General features: G+C 44.7%; 1 protein-coding gene across 5 annotated transcripts in view, besides 3 other annotated features; it reads left to right on the forward strand.

Annotated features, from left to right (window-relative positions):
* The window catches only part of CCNY (cyclin Y), a 325643-nt gene that overhangs the window by 303243 nt on the left and 4336 nt on the right, over window positions 1–18064 (forward strand). For all 5 annotated transcript variants that reach the window (NM_181698.4, NM_001282853.2, NM_145012.6 and 2 more), the window contains 2 exons: window positions 2752–2918; window positions 15756–15918. In NM_181698.4, the coding sequence (NP_859049.2) occupies window positions 2752–2918; window positions 15756–15918 (330 nt within the window). The remainder of the gene's footprint in view (window positions 1–2751; window positions 2919–15755; window positions 15919–18064) is intronic.
* Window positions 14155–14264: an enhancer, noted in NCBI's record as "active region_3266". NCBI's record gives its function as "activates an Ori minimal core promoter by ATAC-STARR-seq in GM12878 lymphoblastoid cells {active_cell/tissue: GM12878}" and the evidence as "EXISTENCE:reporter gene assay evidence [ECO:0000049][PMID:35858748]".
* Window positions 14325–14434: an enhancer, noted in NCBI's record as "active region_3267". NCBI's record gives its function as "activates an Ori minimal core promoter by ATAC-STARR-seq in GM12878 lymphoblastoid cells {active_cell/tissue: GM12878}" and the evidence as "EXISTENCE:reporter gene assay evidence [ECO:0000049][PMID:35858748]".
* Window positions 14705–14784: an enhancer, noted in NCBI's record as "active region_3268". NCBI's record gives its function as "activates an Ori minimal core promoter by ATAC-STARR-seq in GM12878 lymphoblastoid cells {active_cell/tissue: GM12878}" and the evidence as "EXISTENCE:reporter gene assay evidence [ECO:0000049][PMID:35858748]".

Consider the following 18064-nt stretch of genomic DNA (forward strand, 5'->3'; position numbering starts at 1 on the left):
TAGTCCGTGACCCTACAGTGCTTGTGACCCTGCACTGCTCATGGCCCATGACCCTACACTGCTCATGACACTGTGTTGCTTATGGCTCATGACCTTACACTGCTCATGACCCTGTGCTGCTTGCTGATGGTCTTTTTATCCTTAATCTGCCCGGAGTTTTGCTTCCATTAAGGATTGTTCTCCGTCCCCCTCTTCTGCCCTGTCTTCCCTCCCCACTCCTTTTGTCCCTCTACCCTTACTCCCTTGCCCTTCTCTCCCTGGCCTCCCTGCTGAATCCCCCATGCCTGCTGCTTCTCCTGCCCCTCCACCTGCACAGTCACTGCCTCTAGAGTCCTTGCTCGTCCAATTTAATGTTTTCTTGTGCAAGAGGACACTTCAGTTTCCTTCTCAAATGCCCCATATGTTGTAAGCCTAGTTTAGGCACTTGCAAACACAGCTTTGCCTTAGAAGTTCTTTTCCAAACTATTACAAGACTCAAACAAGAGCACCACATACCAGGTTTTACTCCCCCCTCTTCTTTGTTACCCCTTCATCCTGTCTCCAGCCTTAAAATGGAAGGGGCCCTCCAGTCTCAGGACCAGCCCCTCCTTTTCTTAGTTCTTAAGCCTCCCCCAGGTCCCTTGCCCCTGGCTTTGCTCTGTCTGCCTGTCACAGACTCTCAAACTGGCACCCCAGTTTGAGCTCCAGACCTGCATGTTCACTACTTATGTGGCATCCGCTGGGACATTTCAAGACAGAAAGCGTCCAGAGTCAGGCCTGTGATCTTTTACCAACCTCTTCCTCCCCAGTGCACCCTGTCCCAGAGAACACACCTACCTAGCTGTGCAAGCCGGGAGCTGGGGGTCTTCCAGAGCAGCCCACCTTCTGTGATCGTTGGGTCCCCTTTACAGGCCTTGTGCATTCGCATCCCGTAAGAGACCTCTCCCAATCAGTGTTAATTACCCTTTTTCTCAAGAACTTCCTAAAGTTCAGCCGCCTCCTCAAAGACATCCTAATGAAGTAACAAGTGTGAATTCTTCCTTTTCTTAAAAAACAAAACAAAACAAAAAACCTTTCCCATTCCATTTGGGAGTGTTGGTATCATTTAACTGAAAATAATCTGTATTTTATTTATGTGTAAACATTTTCCTTTCCACATGTACCTTTTTGCGTTTTGTAATATTTAAGACTTTATGGACATTATATACTGTGAATAATTATAACATTAATGGGTTTTATCTGCAAGTTCTTAAAAATAGCATGGATGGTGTCTGTTTAATTTTGTTTTTTTTTCTGTTACATTTTCACTTTGCAAATGCATTTGATAAAAACTGTAGTAGTAATTTCATAGTTCAGAGAAGTGTAAGACGTACTATCAATAATAAACAGAGTTCTACTATGGGAAACTAAAAAAGACATTCTTACCTCGTGGCCCAACTTAATGGGCTTTGTAGATATTTCTGATGTCTGTCTTCAACCTAAACTCTGTCAGTTTAGAAATCCTGTATTACTTGGTTTTATTTTCCAATCATTTTAATGATTTAAAAATAGGTATATAAAATCCTAATCGCAGTGATATACGACTTCACACACATTAGGATGACTATTACCAAAACAAAACAGAAAATAAGAAATGTTAGGGAGGATGTGGAGAAATTGGAATCCTTGTGCATTGCTGAAATGTGAAATGGTGCATACGGTGGAAAATGATATGGCAGCTCCTCAAAAATTGAACATAGGATTACCCTATGATCCAGCAATTCCACCTCTGGGTATGTACCCAAAAGAATTAAAAGCACGGATTCAAACAGATACTTGTACACCAGTGTTCATAGCTGCATTGTTCACAATAGCCACACAGGGGGAACAGCTCAAATGTTCATTGACAGAAGAATGGATAAACATGATGGTGTATATGCATACAGCTGAATATTATTCAGCCTTAAAAAGGAAGTTCTGACCCATGCCACAACATGGGTGAACCTTGAGGTCATTATGCGAAGTGATAATAAGCCAGACAGAAAAGGACGAATATTTTATTATTCTACCAATATGATGTGCCAAGAGTAGTCAGATTCATAGAGAATGGTGGTTGCCCGGAGCTGCGGAGAGGGAGGAAGTGGGGAATTATTATTTAACGGGTATAGAGTTTCAGTTTGGGAAGATGATAAAGTTCTGGAGATAGATGGTGGTGATGGTTGCACAGCAGTGTGTCAGGTGAATGTGGTAACCACCACACTGCAGAAACAACACAACAGTGTGAATGTACCTAATGCCGCTGAACTGAAAATGGTTAAATGGTAAATTACATGTTGTGTATATTTTACCACAATAATTAAAAGATAGGCTTATCAACAACTGCATGTATATCTATAGTTATCTCAAAACAAAAAGCTTAATTTAAAAAACCCTACAAACAAAAAAAAAGTGTATTCTCTATACATTCTCTGTCCTTTCTGTTGGAACAGTCATTAACATGTATGGATATCACAGTTGATAGAGTGAGAAATTAGCCTGTGCTTCCTGGAATTGTTTCCTCCACAGAGTCTGTTTAAGATCCAGCTGCACCCACACTGTCCACTAATGGAGTGGGACTTTTAGCCCACGTTTCATCAGACTCATTGAGTCATTTGGCCTTTTAAAAATAAATGTGATTGGGTAATAAATTCCCATTTAAAGGTGGATGTAATACATATTTTAGCATTTCTTGAGGTGTGCTGGTGTTTAGGAGAAAACAAATCACTTAGCTCTGGCATTGTCTTGTCTTCCCAGGTGTACCTTGAAAGACTTTTAACATACGCAGAGATAGATATCTGTCCGGCCAACTGGAAGCGGATTGTTTTAGGGGCGATCCTGCTGGCCTCCAAGGTGTGGGATGACCAGGCTGTATGGAATGTGGATTACTGCCAGATCCTGAAAGACATCACGGTGGAGGACATGTGAGTTGGGGGGCAGAGGGTGTTGGTCATCAGAGTCTTGGCCAGACCATTTGGAAAGAAAGCTGCCTCCTTTTTTAATGGTCTGTATAGCGCAGAATGCATGCATTTGACTGAATGTCTGTTGTGAGCTGTTACAACAGGGGCATGGCTGTGGAATATTACATATGAAAACCTGCATTTCTCATCATGTGGATCTTGAACAGGTACTGGTAACACCTCCTGGTTTTGTGAAACTGGTTTACAGAAACTATATTGTAGGCAAACACTCCTTTAATTAGAAAGGTGTGGTCCAGCACTGATAGCAGCCTGTGATGGTTTATATTTGGGCTTTGTATCTCACTGCAGACTGATCACAGAGAGGTAATGCCGCCATACAGTCCTTTGTGGTCAATAAGGCAATCCAAAAAGCACAAAAGCTAAAATATTTTACATTTTTGTTTAGTTTCACAGAGAAAACATCCACTGCTTTGTCATGTTTTGCAGGTTCAGTTGCTTCAGGTCAGCCTCGTGTCCCTGGGGCTCCCACTTGCAGCATGAACAGGGCTCGGGGAGGGCATCGCCCTTGGGGGTTGTGGGGACTGAGAGCTGTCCACTCCCCTCACTCTCTGGGCAGTGTCAGGGTTTCTCAGATGGGCCAGTCTTCAATTTAGGTGAGGATTATTAGTAGGACACCTGCAGACTGTTGTCTGGGGGGTCTCTAGGGACTGGGAATCCAGGAACTGAGTTCAGAGCCCTTGGGGAAGAAGGAATTGTAGAAAACAATCAGATAGCACTACTTGACTTACAGTTCCTTATGATTTGTAGTCACTTCTGACATTATTGTTGCTAAAACTTTTCTCATACTTTTTGTTTGGCAAACCTCCTCAAGGGGGCTTTAAGCTGGAGGAGGTTACCAGCTCTGTCTCAGTCTACACCCACATCCCTGCCCCCAGTAATCCTCAGATGCAGGACCTTCCCAGTGCCTGTGACAACTACCACTGCAGGGGTGTCCCTGGGCTGCAGACTCGTGGGCATGTGGGTTCTGGATTCCGCAGCAGCCTAGGGCCCTCCTTGCCTCTGGTTACTGACTCCCCAGGCACCCATTGTTGTGGCACCCTTTGAAGCACTGCTTGTTTATGTTCTTAGGGCATTTGTTGCAGAGCCTATTCCTGCTGCAGACCTATAAAATTTCATCCTGTGTCTTTAGTTCTTTATTACATAAAGTAAGAAACACATAAAGAAGTTTTTTTAATCAGAACTATATAGTAAGAAAAATAAAATTCTTGACTATATTTCATGGTGAAAACAGCTACTAAAATAGTTGTCATTCATATCATAAAGGAGGTGGACATTTGGGTGCGAGGTATAAGAAATTCTGGCCTGTTTTCTTTATTGGGGATTATCTTTGCTCAGCTGCTTGGTATCATTTGACACTGAACAGCACGTCACATGATGACTTCCTGGCTGTCCCCTCCTGTTAGATGATACATGACCAGTGACTTGGTTTAGGTGGTGCTCAGGTTCTGTGAGAGCACAGAGGGCCCCCCGACCATGACTAGGTGTGTCCACTTAAAGCCAGAATACCTAATGAAATTAGACTAGGTCTTAAATATTTTGATTTGTATCCTAACTATATTTCCAAAAGGAAGTGAGAGACAAATGCAAATTGCAGATACCACAGAAGCATGAAAACAAAAGAGAACAGAGAAAAATGACCAGTGAATAACATTAGAGGTGTGGAGGAGATGCCTTTTGTACTCTTATCCTTAACCCACCAGGTTTAATTCACCAAAATGCCAGCAAACTGAATTTTCATGGAAACTTAAGATCAATGGAAAATCCTCTTAGTTGATTTCAAATTTTGAGGAAATGTTTATAAAATATTTGTCAGGAGGTACACACTGCCCAGTTCATGCATATGTCAGTTGAATCCTCTCAGCAACCCTGTGACATGTGTACTGATGTCCATGTTACAGATCTGGATACTGAGGCCTAGAGAGGTTCAATAATGCTCCAACAAAATAACCAAGTGGGGAGGTTTATCCCCAGCTGATTAAGAAAGGCTCATCTTTCTTAATCCCAGTGACCATTCATTATACAGTAGTCAAATGAAAATGATGTGTACTGGTCCTCAGTTACGAAGATGTTTTAAACATTCATTTTTAATTTTTCCTTCTCTCTTTAAATAAAAAGATAGGAGGGTAAAGTAACAGGTCATTTGGAATTCTAGGTACTTAGGTTGTATTCATTGAAGGTTTAAATTCAAGTCAGTAAAACCCAATTACCAGGAATATTTATAATCACAATAACAACAACAGCAGCAGCAGCTATCCTATATTGAGTACTTCCTAGCTCAAAAGAAATGATTTTTCTGCGTTAATTCACATCTCACATTTATCCATGAGGTGGTACTATTATTCCCATTTTACAGATGGAAACGAGGCCCTGAGAATTAAGTAAGATGCCCAGGTGACTTGACTAGTAAGTCAGTCACAATCTATGTTTCTTCTAAGCAATTGGAGCTACAGTTGTTTCATTTAATACTTAATTTAAAAAACAACTGTTTTTTGTAAGTCAACTCTTTTTCTACACAGAGAAGTTAAAACAGTTGGCCAGTGTTCATTCAGCTGAAATTAACTTAATATCAAGAATTGTTTTGATAATGATAGCCTTAATGTCTGTTCTTTTGATGGGCAGTCAATATCTTAAAAAATTATACATTATAATAAGGTTGGATTTTTTTTCAAGTGCAAAATACTAATAGTTACTGTATTGAATGAAGCTGCTGCTTTACTCATTAAGATTTTGAAAGAACCAGCACTATGGTTAGTAGAATAGTAGGATTGATGTTAAAACTCTATTCCATATTTTGTCCAAAGAAAATTGATCATTTTTTAGCCTGTTTTCTGTCTTTTTTGAAAGCTGTTGGTGCCCAGGCTACCCCATTGCCATCTGAGCCACTGGCTGAACCTTAGTGACTCATGCAGCATTTGATCAGTGCCCCACATGCCTGTAGCTGGGCAAAGGAAGGAGGCATTCAGGAAGACCTGATGTTTCTAAAAGGTCTGACCATAAATAGTTCTCCTGAAGAAACTGGAGTGCCACCTTTTTCCACTGCCCTCTGTCAGGCTGGAGAGCAGATCATGGGGAGATGCAGCTCAGGTGCCTTGTGCTCCTCTGCTTTCCTTGCAGAGCTCTGAGGACTGCAGGCCCTGAGTAGGCAAAGTTGTAACCTGGCCAGACTGAGTCCTTGCGTGTTCAGATTCTTGCATATTTTATTCTACTGTTTGTTTTGAGAGCCACTGTGATCCATCTATAATATACTGTTTACTCTTTGGTTATATGATTACCACACTATAAGACTCTATATGTTCTCTGTAGAAAAGCTGATCAAACAATTGCGTATATGGATATTTGGGGAGGAATAGACACGTTTTCCCCCTGACAGAAGATTGGAGGGAGCATGGAGCTTCCTTCTGATAGGGGTAATAGCTGAAAGGATGCTCTGAACCACACATAAATCAGGAATTTACAGTTCCTGATTACGCAGAGGTACTTGGCACGGTTGTGTCTCCATTCCTTTCTGGAGGTGCCAGCCAGTGACCACAATAGTGGAGGTCTTTATACATTTTGGCCTGTTTATCCCTAGAAGTAGTTTGGAAAATTTTATATCCTCACTACATTTTTTTTTTTTTTTTAAGACAGAGTTTCATTGTTGTTGCCCAGGCTGGAGTCCAATGGCGTGATCTTGGCTCACTGCAACTTCGCTTCCCGGGTTCAAGCAATTCTCCTGCCTCAGCCTCCTGAGTAGCTGGGATTACAGGCGCCCGCCATTAGTCCTGACTAATTTTTGGTATTTTTAGTACAGATGGGGTTTCACCATGTTGGCCAGGCTGGTCTCAAACTCCTGACCTTAGGTGATCTGCCCACCTCGGCCTTAATTTGAAAATTTTTATCCCAAGTTTTAGTTGTTGTAAAGGATGTTATTTGCAATATATTTTATATAGTAGGGTTTTAAAGTTAAAAGTATTCATTAGAGACTGAATATACCAGAGTAATATGAAACTCACAGTTACCCATTTTCTTAGAGGTGAAAATTTTACATTGCTGCTTTTTCTCCTTGAACTCATTATTTTCTTTCTAGTTTCCTCACACATTAGCCTCTTCTTCAAAATTCTCCATATCAAAAATGTACATTTAAGTCAAAATTGCAGTAGTGTTTTCTGGATGATAATGTTCTAATTTATTAAAAACACTTTCAGGTCTGAGTTGTCATTAGTACACAGTTGATCAAAATATAGACATACTAAAGCTGGGTGCAGTGGCTCACACCTGTAATCCCAACACTTTGGGAGGCCGAGGTGGGTGGATCACTTGAGGTCAGGAGTTCAAGCCAGCCTGGCCAACATGGTGAAATGCCATCTCTACTAAAAATACAAAAATTAGCTGGTACTGGTGGCGCTCACCTGTAGTCCCAGCTACTCAGGAGGCTGAGGCAGGAGAATCGCTTGAGCCCAGGAGGCGGAGGTTGCAATGAGCCGAGATCGTGCCACCGCACTCCAGCCTTAGCAACAGAGCAAGACTCCATTTTATATTTAAAAAAAAGTCAGTATAAATTATTAAATATACAAAAAGTAAAACCTTATGGGAAATAGATTTCTTAATGAGATCAGTAGTTTGTTCTTTCATTAGTTTATATTTTTGTGTATGATGATTATTGAAACCAGGCTGAGCATCAGTTTTATTCCCCTTTCTCTTCTTTTGCCTCTTTGGTGTGAGTTCAGAGCGCATGTTCAGATGAGTAGGTGAAATTTTGAGGAGTTTTATTATAGTAGTGTCACTCAAGTCTTAAAACAGTTTTTGAATTATATGCTAAAATTACACAGCCATCTATTAGTAAAGGCTATTTAAATGAGCCTACCAACCCCTGCTTCAGTTTGTTGAAAGCAAAAACTGGAAACCATCTAAGTAGCCTGTCACTAGAGTCATTCACTTTTCCAGCACCACATGTTGGGATATAGTCCCTTTCCTGGGTTCCTCAGAGGGAGTTCCCCCTGAGGCAGTGAACCTTAGTAAGGGCAGGTGAGCAGCCTGCCTTTCCCTTCCAGGGTAGGAGAAGAGCAACTGGGAAAGAAGAAGCCAGAAGGAGAACCTGCACACACAGATTTGTTCTCCAGCAAGTCAGTTTTAGGAGAGTGAAATGAAAGTTACAGATCTAGAAATCTCTTTCCTAATGCTGTGTTCTCAAGCATGCTTAGAGACACTTTCTGTACTATAAATTGAATGCATATCCCAGCTTGAAGTCCAGAGTCCCGCTGAGTCCTGTAACAGATGCTATTCATGACATGGGCTGAATTGTCTCCTCTAAAATAGATGTGTGAAGTCCTAACCCCCAGACCCTCAGAATGTGACCATATTTGGAGATATATTTTTTAAAGAGGAAATTAAATTAAAATGGGGTCATTAGGGTGGGCCCTAATCCAGTATGTCTGATGTCCTCATAAGAAGAGATTAGGACACAGACAACACAGAGGGATGGCCATGTGAGGACACAGAGAAGGTAGCGTCTGCAAGCCAAGGAGAGAGGTCTCGGAAGAAACCAACCCCACTAACACCTTGATCTTGGACTAGTAGCCTCTAGAATTGTGAGAAAATAAATTTCTGTTGTTGAAGCCACCCAGTCTGTGGGACTTTGTTACCTGTGCTAGTCTGTAGCCCTAGCCAACTAATACAGATTTTGGTACTGGGAAGTGAGGTGCTGCTGTAGCAAATACCTAAAAATGTGGAAGTGGCTTTGAAAGTTGGTAAGGAATAGAGGCAGGAGGAGTTTTGAGGTGCATATTAGAAAAACCCAAGACTGCCTTGAAGGGATTGTTGGTAGAAATGTGGGCATTAAAGGTGATTCTGGTGAAGACTCAGAAAAGAGGACAGCTGTAGAAAATGCCTCTACCATTTTAGATGCATTCACATGTCATCATGAACAGAATGTTGTTGGCAATATGAATGTCCAAGGTGCTTATGGTGAGGTCTCAGAAAGAAGTGAGGAGCATGTTCCTGGGAGCTGGAGGAAAGGTGATCCTTGTTAAAAAGTGGCAAAGACCTGACCAAATAGCGTTCTAGTGTTTTGTGGAAAGTGGAATGTTTAAGAAATGAATGTGGATGTTTTAGCCAAGGAGATTTCCATGCACAGTGTGGAAGTCACAGCCTAGTCCCTCTTGTTGCTCGTAGTATACTGTGAGAGGAGAGAGAGAAACAGAAGGAGGAGGAATTATTTAGTAACAAGGAACCAAATCTTCTAGCTGAAGATTTAGAAATCTCAAATCTTCTAATCTCAGTCTATCCATATGGCAAAAAAATGGGAAAGTGTGCTCTGGAGGCAACACAAGGGTGCTGGGACAGCATTTGCTAAAGAGATTACAGATGTGACAGATGGATCCAGTCAGCCAGCCATCTCAGCAGAAGCGCTGCCGGCTTGCACCAAAGGGCCCAGAGACAGGACAGGTGAAGCAAGGCTGTCGTACTCTGGCATTCCACGGGCCAGCAGAACTGTCTGGCATGACTTGTGATATCCTCCAAGGAAAGGGGTGAATGATCCTGAGATGGTACCGAGGCCAGCAGGTCTGCCACTGCCACCATGGGCCCAGCAGGCACAGCCTGGAGTGAGGCTGTTTCCTCCTTGGCTCCAGGGGGTTAGGCCAAGGCAGGGCTGCCTACCTGGGGGTGGGTGATGGCGCATCAGCAGAGAGGACTTAAGTCTTCAATCCCTGGAGCTTGCCCTGCTAGATTTCGGGCTTGCTGGACACTGTGACCTCTTTCTTTCTGAGTTTTCTTTCTTTTGGAAGGAAAGGGGATGCCTGTCCTATGTCTGTCCTATGCCTGTGCCACCATTGTATTTTAGAAGCAGGTCACTGGGTCACAGCTGGAGAGGAATTTTGCCTTAGGATGAATCATACCTCAATCTTCACCCATACCTGATTCAGATGAGATTTAGATAGGATTTGGGACTTAGAGATGGAGCGGGAATGCATTAGGACTTTGGGGCTGTTAGGATGAGGTGAGTGTGTTCTGCATGTAAGATGGACATGAATTCTGAAGGGCACGAAGGCAGTGTTGCGGGGCTGAACTTTGTCCCCCTCAAATTCACATGCAAAGCCCTCCCAACCCCTAGTGTTTGAGAATGTAACCATGTCTGGAGATAAGGTTTTTAAAGACCTAATTAAATTAACATTGGTTCATTTGGGTGGGTCCTAACCTAATATGACAGGTGTCCTATAAGAAGAAGAGATCAGAACACAGGGAACAGACAGAAGGATGAGCATGTGAGACTCAGACAGCCACCTGCAAGCTACGGAGAGCAGCCTCAGGAGATACCAGTCTGCTGACAGCTTGGACTTACAGCCACAAACTGTGGGGAAAAAATTCCCGTTGTTTAAGCCCCTAGCATTTTCATTACAGCAGCTCTTGCAAACTAATACACCCTGTAAACTTTATTAAAAGAAGGAATGAAATCTACATTCTAGGAGCTGCTGGAGATATCTGTGGACATAGATGCTGGTGGAGCTAGAGGCTCCAAGTGATTTTGTGGCACCTGCACAGTAAAATAGATTTACTATTAGAATTTTTAGAAATGAATACTTCATTCAGTCTTTCCCAGTAAAACCGTGTGAGCCCAGGAATTGGTGGAATTGGACATCACTCAGCTGAATGGCTGAGGGAAAATCATGACTCCTCGGTAGCCCTTTATGGGGAGAGGAGGTAGCACAAGGCTCACTGGAAGCTGGGGGCCCTGCACCAAGGTAAAGATGAGCAGAGGCACTGCCGGTGAGTTTTCCCAGCATAACTTCAGGAATAGAGCTGAGATGACACAGCCTGTAGAACAGGGGCCTGGACAGCCACCCAAGCTGCACTCCCTACCTGCAGTACCTTAGATGAACAATGGGTTCCTTCCACAAATCCCACTTGGGTGTCCCAGAATGAGGGAGGTGCGTGCCAGGAGCTTGTCCTTCTTGGCACGCTGTGGAAGTCCCCAAGATCCTAGAATCCTCTTTTTCATCCCCAAGTGGGAAAAGAGTCAGTGGCTTGGGCCTGAGGGTGGGGTGGGAGGCGTTTGGGCAGGAGAAGTCTCAGATATCCTGGGGTGGGCTCCATCCTATCAAGGGCTGCCCTGCTGCATTTTTCTATAATCCCATCACTCAGAAAGAATATTGCTAACATTTTTATTATATAGAACTTCCCAGTGTTTACATAGATTTTATTTTTACAAAACTGGGCCCATACTGTACGCGTTGTTTTAAACTTTTTGCCATTTAGCAGTGTGTTAATCTGTGGTTAGCTGGTCTCAGTTTCCTGGCAGAGGCAAACAACCCGAGCTCTCCCTTGGAGCTCCTGAGCAGGGAGAGGGCTCACAGGTTTCAGCTGGAAACCTTTTCAAATGGGGTTTTTGGTAGTGCTTGTTCTTCTAGGTACCCTTCTTCCTGGCCTCCTGTGTCCCAGCTTCCTGAAGTGACCTTCCTGGTATTTTTGACCATAGGCTAATCTCCTGCTCAAGAATTATCCAACAGTGAGAACTTGACTGGGAGTCTCCCCATGTACCTTTGGACAGAGGGGTTCTGGCTTGGAAGGCAGCTGACTGTGCAGCTGCGTATCTGTGGGCGCAGGCTGAAGAACACTGTACGACGAGTGTCACTGAGACTTGCAGGCAGAATAGTCAGGGCACCAGGCCATGTGGATAGTCACCAGCACCAGTCAGATGTTAGCTTCAGGCAGACCTCATGTGGGAAGATGGGGCCAAGGGCCAGCCTTTCTCCCACTCTCACCAACAATCAGTGGTCACAGCATCACAGGCCAGCTTAGAGCAAGAAGTGGCAACCGCTGTGGATGGGGAAAGGACAGTGAAATTTCACCATGCAGAGTTCTGTAGGCAAAAATACTGTTAAAAAAAATTACACCTCGAGGTTTGTCTGTTTCTTGTTTTTGTTTTGCACTGTTCCCGTAAATGTCATTTTCATGTGTAGACAAATCCAAATAAGGAGAAATCAAGTGACTTGTCCAAGCATTGCATGGCACAGAAGGTCACAGAGAAAGAACTTCAGTTCCTCTGTAGATACCTGGTTTCTGGTGGTGTTTTGTTTTTAAATTGTAGTAAAATGTATGTAGCATGAAATTTATGATTGTAGCCATTTTTAAGTATACATTTCTGTAGCACTAAGTACATTTACATTGTTGTGCAACCATTACCACCATCCATCTCTAGAACCCTTCATTTTCGCAAACTGAAACTCTCCCCCTGTTAAACACTAACTTGCCATTCCTCCTTCCTCCAGCTCCTGGTGATCACTGTCCTACTTTTTGTCTCTGTGAACTTCACTACTTTCAGGACCTCACACAAGTGGGATCATACAGTCTGTGTCCTTCTGTGTCCAGCATATTTCACTTGCCAATAATGTCCTCAGGGTTGATCCATGTTGTAGTGTGTCTGAATTTCCTTTCTTTTTAGGGCTGTATAATACTTCACTGGGGGTCTGTGTCCCATTTTGTTTATCCACTCATCCACCCATGGACACTTGGGTTACCTCCACATTGGGCTAGTAAGTGGAGGCTGTAAGTGTGGCTATGCAGATACCTTTTCAAGACTTTGTTTCTCCTTCTTTTGGGAAGTGACCCTAGTTTCTAGAAAAGTAGGCAGCATATTAGATGATTAAAACAGCTCTTTTTAACATCATTTTAGAGTTCTATTTTCAAGTTGCTGAATTGTACCAAATTGGGTTTTTATACAGTGTTGATCTAGTGTGACAAATATTTCTGAAATGTGGTTTTTGTTGGTCGACTTGAATATATTTCTTACAACGTTTTACACCAAAACTGTTTCTTCATAGTTATCTAAATGCAGATAGTAAATCCATCAGGCCCATTCTTGGCATCACGTTAGTTTTCTGATAATTTATCACATAGCAAGCTGTCAGTGTCCCTGTAAAAGATGTGCTGCTGCAGTTTGGAAATTCAAGTTTTGGAAATTATTTTTATTTTCTAAATCTTTAGAAAAAAATTCATTTTTTGAAAATACAACAGCTCTAAAATCTATTTTCCCAAAGCTTAACCAGAAACTCAAGCTTGGAGAAGGTTGTTCTGTTTTCCAGGGAACCCTGGGAAAATACCGCCTTGTTCAAAAGCAGCTTCCTCTTGACTTTGCTCGTAGTGTCTGCCTCCATCTGGAACCATGGTGTCTGTATATCATTTTGGGCAGGATTATCAGGCTGTTCTCTTAGACTTTTCTTCTTACTATTGGGAGAATACGCTTTGCAGTGACGCCTGTTGACCACCAGACGGCGGTGTGTCCATGGCAGCTCCCAGGTTCACTTGGGATTTGCTCCTTTGACGTTTGACAGTTCTGGCCTTAGCAGGGCCTCTGACGCTTTCGTTTTGTTGAAGTCTTACCTGGATTCCAGTATTTCACAGGATGATCTCTTATTAAATCTCATTTAAATGAAGCATAAATAAAAGTTGTTTTAAGTAAAAATTATCCCAAATCAAAGTAAATTATTATTTATTTATTTATTTTTGGGACAGAGTTTCGCTCTCGTTGCCCAGGCTGGAGTGCAGTGGGGCAATCTCGGCTCACTGCAACTTCCGCCTCCTGGGTTCAAGTGATTCTCCTGCCTCACCCTCCTGAGTAGCTGGGATATTAGAGGTGCCCACCACCATGCCTGACTAATTTTTTTTTTTTTTTTTTGAGACAGAGTTTCGCTCTTGTAGTCCAGGCTGGAGTGCAATGGCGCAATCTTGGCTCGCTTCAACCTCCACCTCCCGGGTTCAAGTGATTCCCCTGCCTCAGCCTCCTGAGTAGCTTGAATTATAGGCATGTGCCACCATGCCCGGCTAATTTTCTTTGTATTTTTAGTAGAGACGAGGTTTCACCCTGTTGGCCAGGCTGGTCTCAAACTCCTAAACTCAGGTGATCCACCCGCCTCAGCCTCCCAAAGTGCTGAGATTACAGGTGTGAGTGACCACACCCAGCCTAAATTCTTAAAACTATGAAATTTAGTACAGTAAATACATTTGGAGCTTGTTATCACTCTTTTCACGAGGCTGTGTGGAAACAAGCAGTGACGCTCTTCATCTGATGAAGAGACCGGAATGGGCCTTCCTCGGGCCTCCTTCCTTGCCGCCTGCCCACAGGTCCCAGTGCTCCTTTCCCCAGCAGCTTCATGTCTCCCCAGAGCCACTGGCCTTGCTCAGCCCCAGCCTCCCCACCCGCCTCCTTACTGTTCTTGTCCTTTGTCACAGCAACTTGAGCTGGTGTGGAGCCCTCCTCAGTCCTTCATAGCTGAGTGCTATGAGTCACCGGGAACAGCCATAGGGGTCTCGGGACATCACTCAGGACAGGATGGTGCCTGCATGTGAGGCTCAGACCCAGACCCTCAGCGTTCAGCAGAGTTGGCAGGACATGACTTAGAATGCCGAGGCTGGGATCAGGGTCAGGAGGGTGAGGCCCTGCACTAGGGCCCTGGCTTCACTCACAGGAAATGGTGACTGTGTGTTTTGGCTGCCTGCAGCAGGTTGGAGGGGACCCACTCTGCCTGAAACACCCCCTCCTCAGCCCTGGTTCCTCTCCGCCAGAGCTCCATGCTTCCCTCACCTCAGTTCAGCTCTCACTGCTGTGGGAAGCCTTCTGAGATCATGTGCTGGGGGCCAGGCATGCAAAAGCAGATGTTGCACTTCCTGACTATGAGGAGAACAGCCCAAGAGGCTGAGTTCAGCAGCCACATGCTGCATAGTGTGGGCAAGGACAGGAGGTTTCCTGGAGGGTGTGCAGTGGGTGGGCACCCTGTGGGTGGGCACCCCTGGGGGCTTCCTGGGGAGAACGTGCTGAATCTGAGTGCATGACCCAGGACCAGTGCTCCACAGATAGTTCCCTCACTGAGAAGGTTCCCCCCACCCAGAGGAACTATCTAGAAATAAACCTAATTTGAAAGATAGCTGACATGAGAAGTTCTTAAAGTAGAAGTTTTTGAATTTCTCCCAGCATTCCATCAACATGTAGATGGGTTGGCAGGGTGGATCTTAGCACCTCCTCTCCCAACCTACCTTTTTAGTTGAGTGGTTCTCAGAGTGTGGGCCCGGGGCAAGAGCCTCAGCCTCACCATCATCTGGGAGTTCCTTAGAAATGCACATTCTCAGGCCCCACTGCAGACCTACTGATCCCCACAGTGTGAAGGTGGAGCCCCCTGTCTGTTCTAACAAGCCCACCAGGTGATGGGGTGCGTGCTCAAGTGTGGAAACTACTGCTTCCATTCTTCCCGGCTTGTGAGTTCTCTTTTTAAGAGACTGAGGCAGAGACTGGACACCCTCCCCCCATAATCCCTGCCTTTTGCCTAAGAAAGCCCCTACACAGTTCCTCCCTTCTTTTCTCCCTGGAGGTAGGGAGGGGCCACCGAGGAAGCCAATGTCCTCTAGGTCTGCAGAGGCTGAGTGTTTTCCTCTGGGCCCCTGCGGAAGGGCCCTCACTGGACTCCACGTGGCAGCTCTTGGCTGCTGCATCCACCCTTTGTTAGCAGCCTGTCCTCACGGAGACCTGCAGCCAGAGCCTGCTGTGTGTGTGTTAGATCTCAGTGAAGTGATTCGCCCTGAAACGCTTCCTGGTGATGATCCCAGTTAACCAGTCCTCATCCTTCTGGGCACCAGATCAAGTGGATTTGGCTTTTAATCCCAATATGGTGGTCTAACCAGACATTTACTTAGATCACTGGTCTTCCTGGAGGATGCAGTTTTCTGGAGTCTGGTCTCCAGCAACTTGCCTTGGCAGGCCACGTGGCCTGGTGTGGCAGCTAAGCATAGGCTATTTTTGTCTTTGCTTTGCAGGAACGAGCTAGAGCGACAGTTTCTTGAATTGCTGCAGTTCAACATCAATGTTCCTTCCAGTGTCTATGCCAAGTATTATTTTGATCTTCGTTCTCTGGCAGAAGCGAACAACCTGAGCTTTCCCTTGGAGCCCCTGAGCAGGGAGAGGGCTCACAAGCTTGAGGTAAGATGGTTTAAAACAGCGTTTTGTGGTGCAGTGTTGCCAATACATCATCTGAGTACCAGAGATGCATGTGGTCACATTGATCATTTCCCCCACTACATGATGTAAAATAAAGATGAGCTACTAGGATATATAGCTGGGCAGTTGATTATGATTTGTTCTGCTTCTTTTTTCTTTGAGACGGAGTCTCGCTCTGTCACCCAGCCTGGAGTACAGTGGTGCGATCTTGGCCCATTGCAGTCTCTGCCTCCCGAGTTAAAGCAATTCTGCTTCAGCCTCTCAAGTAGCTGGGATTACAGGTGCCTGCCACCACACCCGGTTGATTTTTTGTATTTTTAGTAGAGATGGGGTTTCACAATGTTGGCCAGGCTGGTCTCAAACTCCTGACCTCAGGTGATCTGCCTGCCTTGGCCTCCCAAAGTGCTGGGATTACAGACGTGAGCCGCTGTGCCTGGCCAGCCACTTCATATTTTTAATAACCAGTTTAATATCACTTTATACTTAATAAGCAAAGGTTTTTTGTTTTTTTGGGTTTTTTTGAGATGGAGTCTTGCTGTGTTACCCAGGCTGGAGTGCAGTGGCACGATCTCAGCTCATCACAACTCCGCCCCCTGGGTTCAAGTGATTCTTCTGCCTCAGCCTCCCTAGTAGCTGGGACTACAGGTGTGCACCACCACGCCCAGCTAATTTTTTTTTGTATTTTTAGTAGAGATGGATGGGGTTTCATTATGTTGGCCAGGCTGGTCTAGAACTCCTGACCTTGTGATCTGCCCACCTTGGCCTCCTAAAGTGCTGGTATTACAGGCATGAGCCACCACAATTCTATTTTGAAATCAAATATTTTTTAAAACCCTTACCTTTACGGACAGGTTTAAGAAAATTATGTCCCCCCAAAAAGCATTTCCCGCAATATAAGCCCCTCAAAAAGATACTTCTCAGCATGCGCTTTCATAGGAAAAAGCTGCCAAATGATATTAACAATTGGGAATCCAAAAAGATTTGATTCTGCTTTTTATTTTTTTTCCAAAATACCTTTTCCATAGCCCAGTTAGAGCTGAGGGCAGCACCACTGGTCTTGGTCTGGGTTTTGGGCCGTCATTATTAAGCTGTGTAACTTTGGGTCTCATCACAGCATATTTGTATGTGGCTCCGCCTCATATGTTCACCAGGCTCTTCCCACTTGACCTTTTGGCAGGAGGAAAGGGGACGGGGTGGTAATTAAGCAGGATCCCTGGGGAGAGACCCCTCCTCCAGAGAGGGTGTGCCCCAGCCTTTCTCCTCTGCACCTTTTTTCCCAATCCTGCCTTGGTCTCATCCCATAGAGTGTTTCCGAGTGGTGGATGGCACTGTCATGTCCCCAGCTTGTGAGGTCTTCGTGCTGCCCACACCACTGCCCATCCCAGGTGGGATGTTGTCACTCAGTGCAGAGTTGGTGTGGCATCATGATGGCTTGGCCACACGGTGATCTAGAACTGGGAGAAGAAACCTGTTATGGATTACACGCTTAAGAAAGAAAAATGTTAAATAAAAATTTAAAAAGTAATATGTTAATTCCAAGAAGTAAACCATAGAAAAGACTGGATGCATAGCACTGGTTAGAAATAAAAATCCAGTGAGAGTTTCAGAACTCAGCCATGCCCCTGTGATTGTGTGCCAGCCTTTGGAATGGAAAGCCCACCCAGTCTCCCAGTTATCATCTATTCGAGGAAAAATGGAAAACCCTCCCTCTGCAGGACTTCCTGAAGGCAAATGTTGTGAAACCTTCGCAAGCACAGATGTGAGGTAGAATCTGGCTTTCCCTGAGAGCATGAGCCCCCTCTCAGCCTGTGCTGTGGTCCCTGGTCCCCCTCGTCACCAGCTATGGCTCTAGTGGCTGCTTCAGTGCTAATGAGACAAGCCGGAGCTCCTGGCAGCTACACAGCTCTGCAGGAAAGTGAGTCTTGTGTTCTCTGCTGAAGAATATCTGGGGCTCTGAGTCAGTCACCCTGAGAGCACAGGCCGAGGTTGGTGGAGTTGGCACCTGCTGTTCCCTCAGGTTTCTCCGAGTGCCGAGAAGGGAGAGCTCACCTGCTTCTGGGGCTGCTGTGTCACGGGCCCTAGGGGTTCAGCAGGGCAGGAGAAAAGGCCAGTCATATCCTGACAAGGC

This window comes from Homo sapiens, chromosome 10, assembly GCF_000001405.40.
Source record: "Homo sapiens chromosome 10, GRCh38.p14 Primary Assembly".
NCBI lineage: Eukaryota > Metazoa > Chordata > Mammalia > Primates > Hominidae > Homo > Homo sapiens.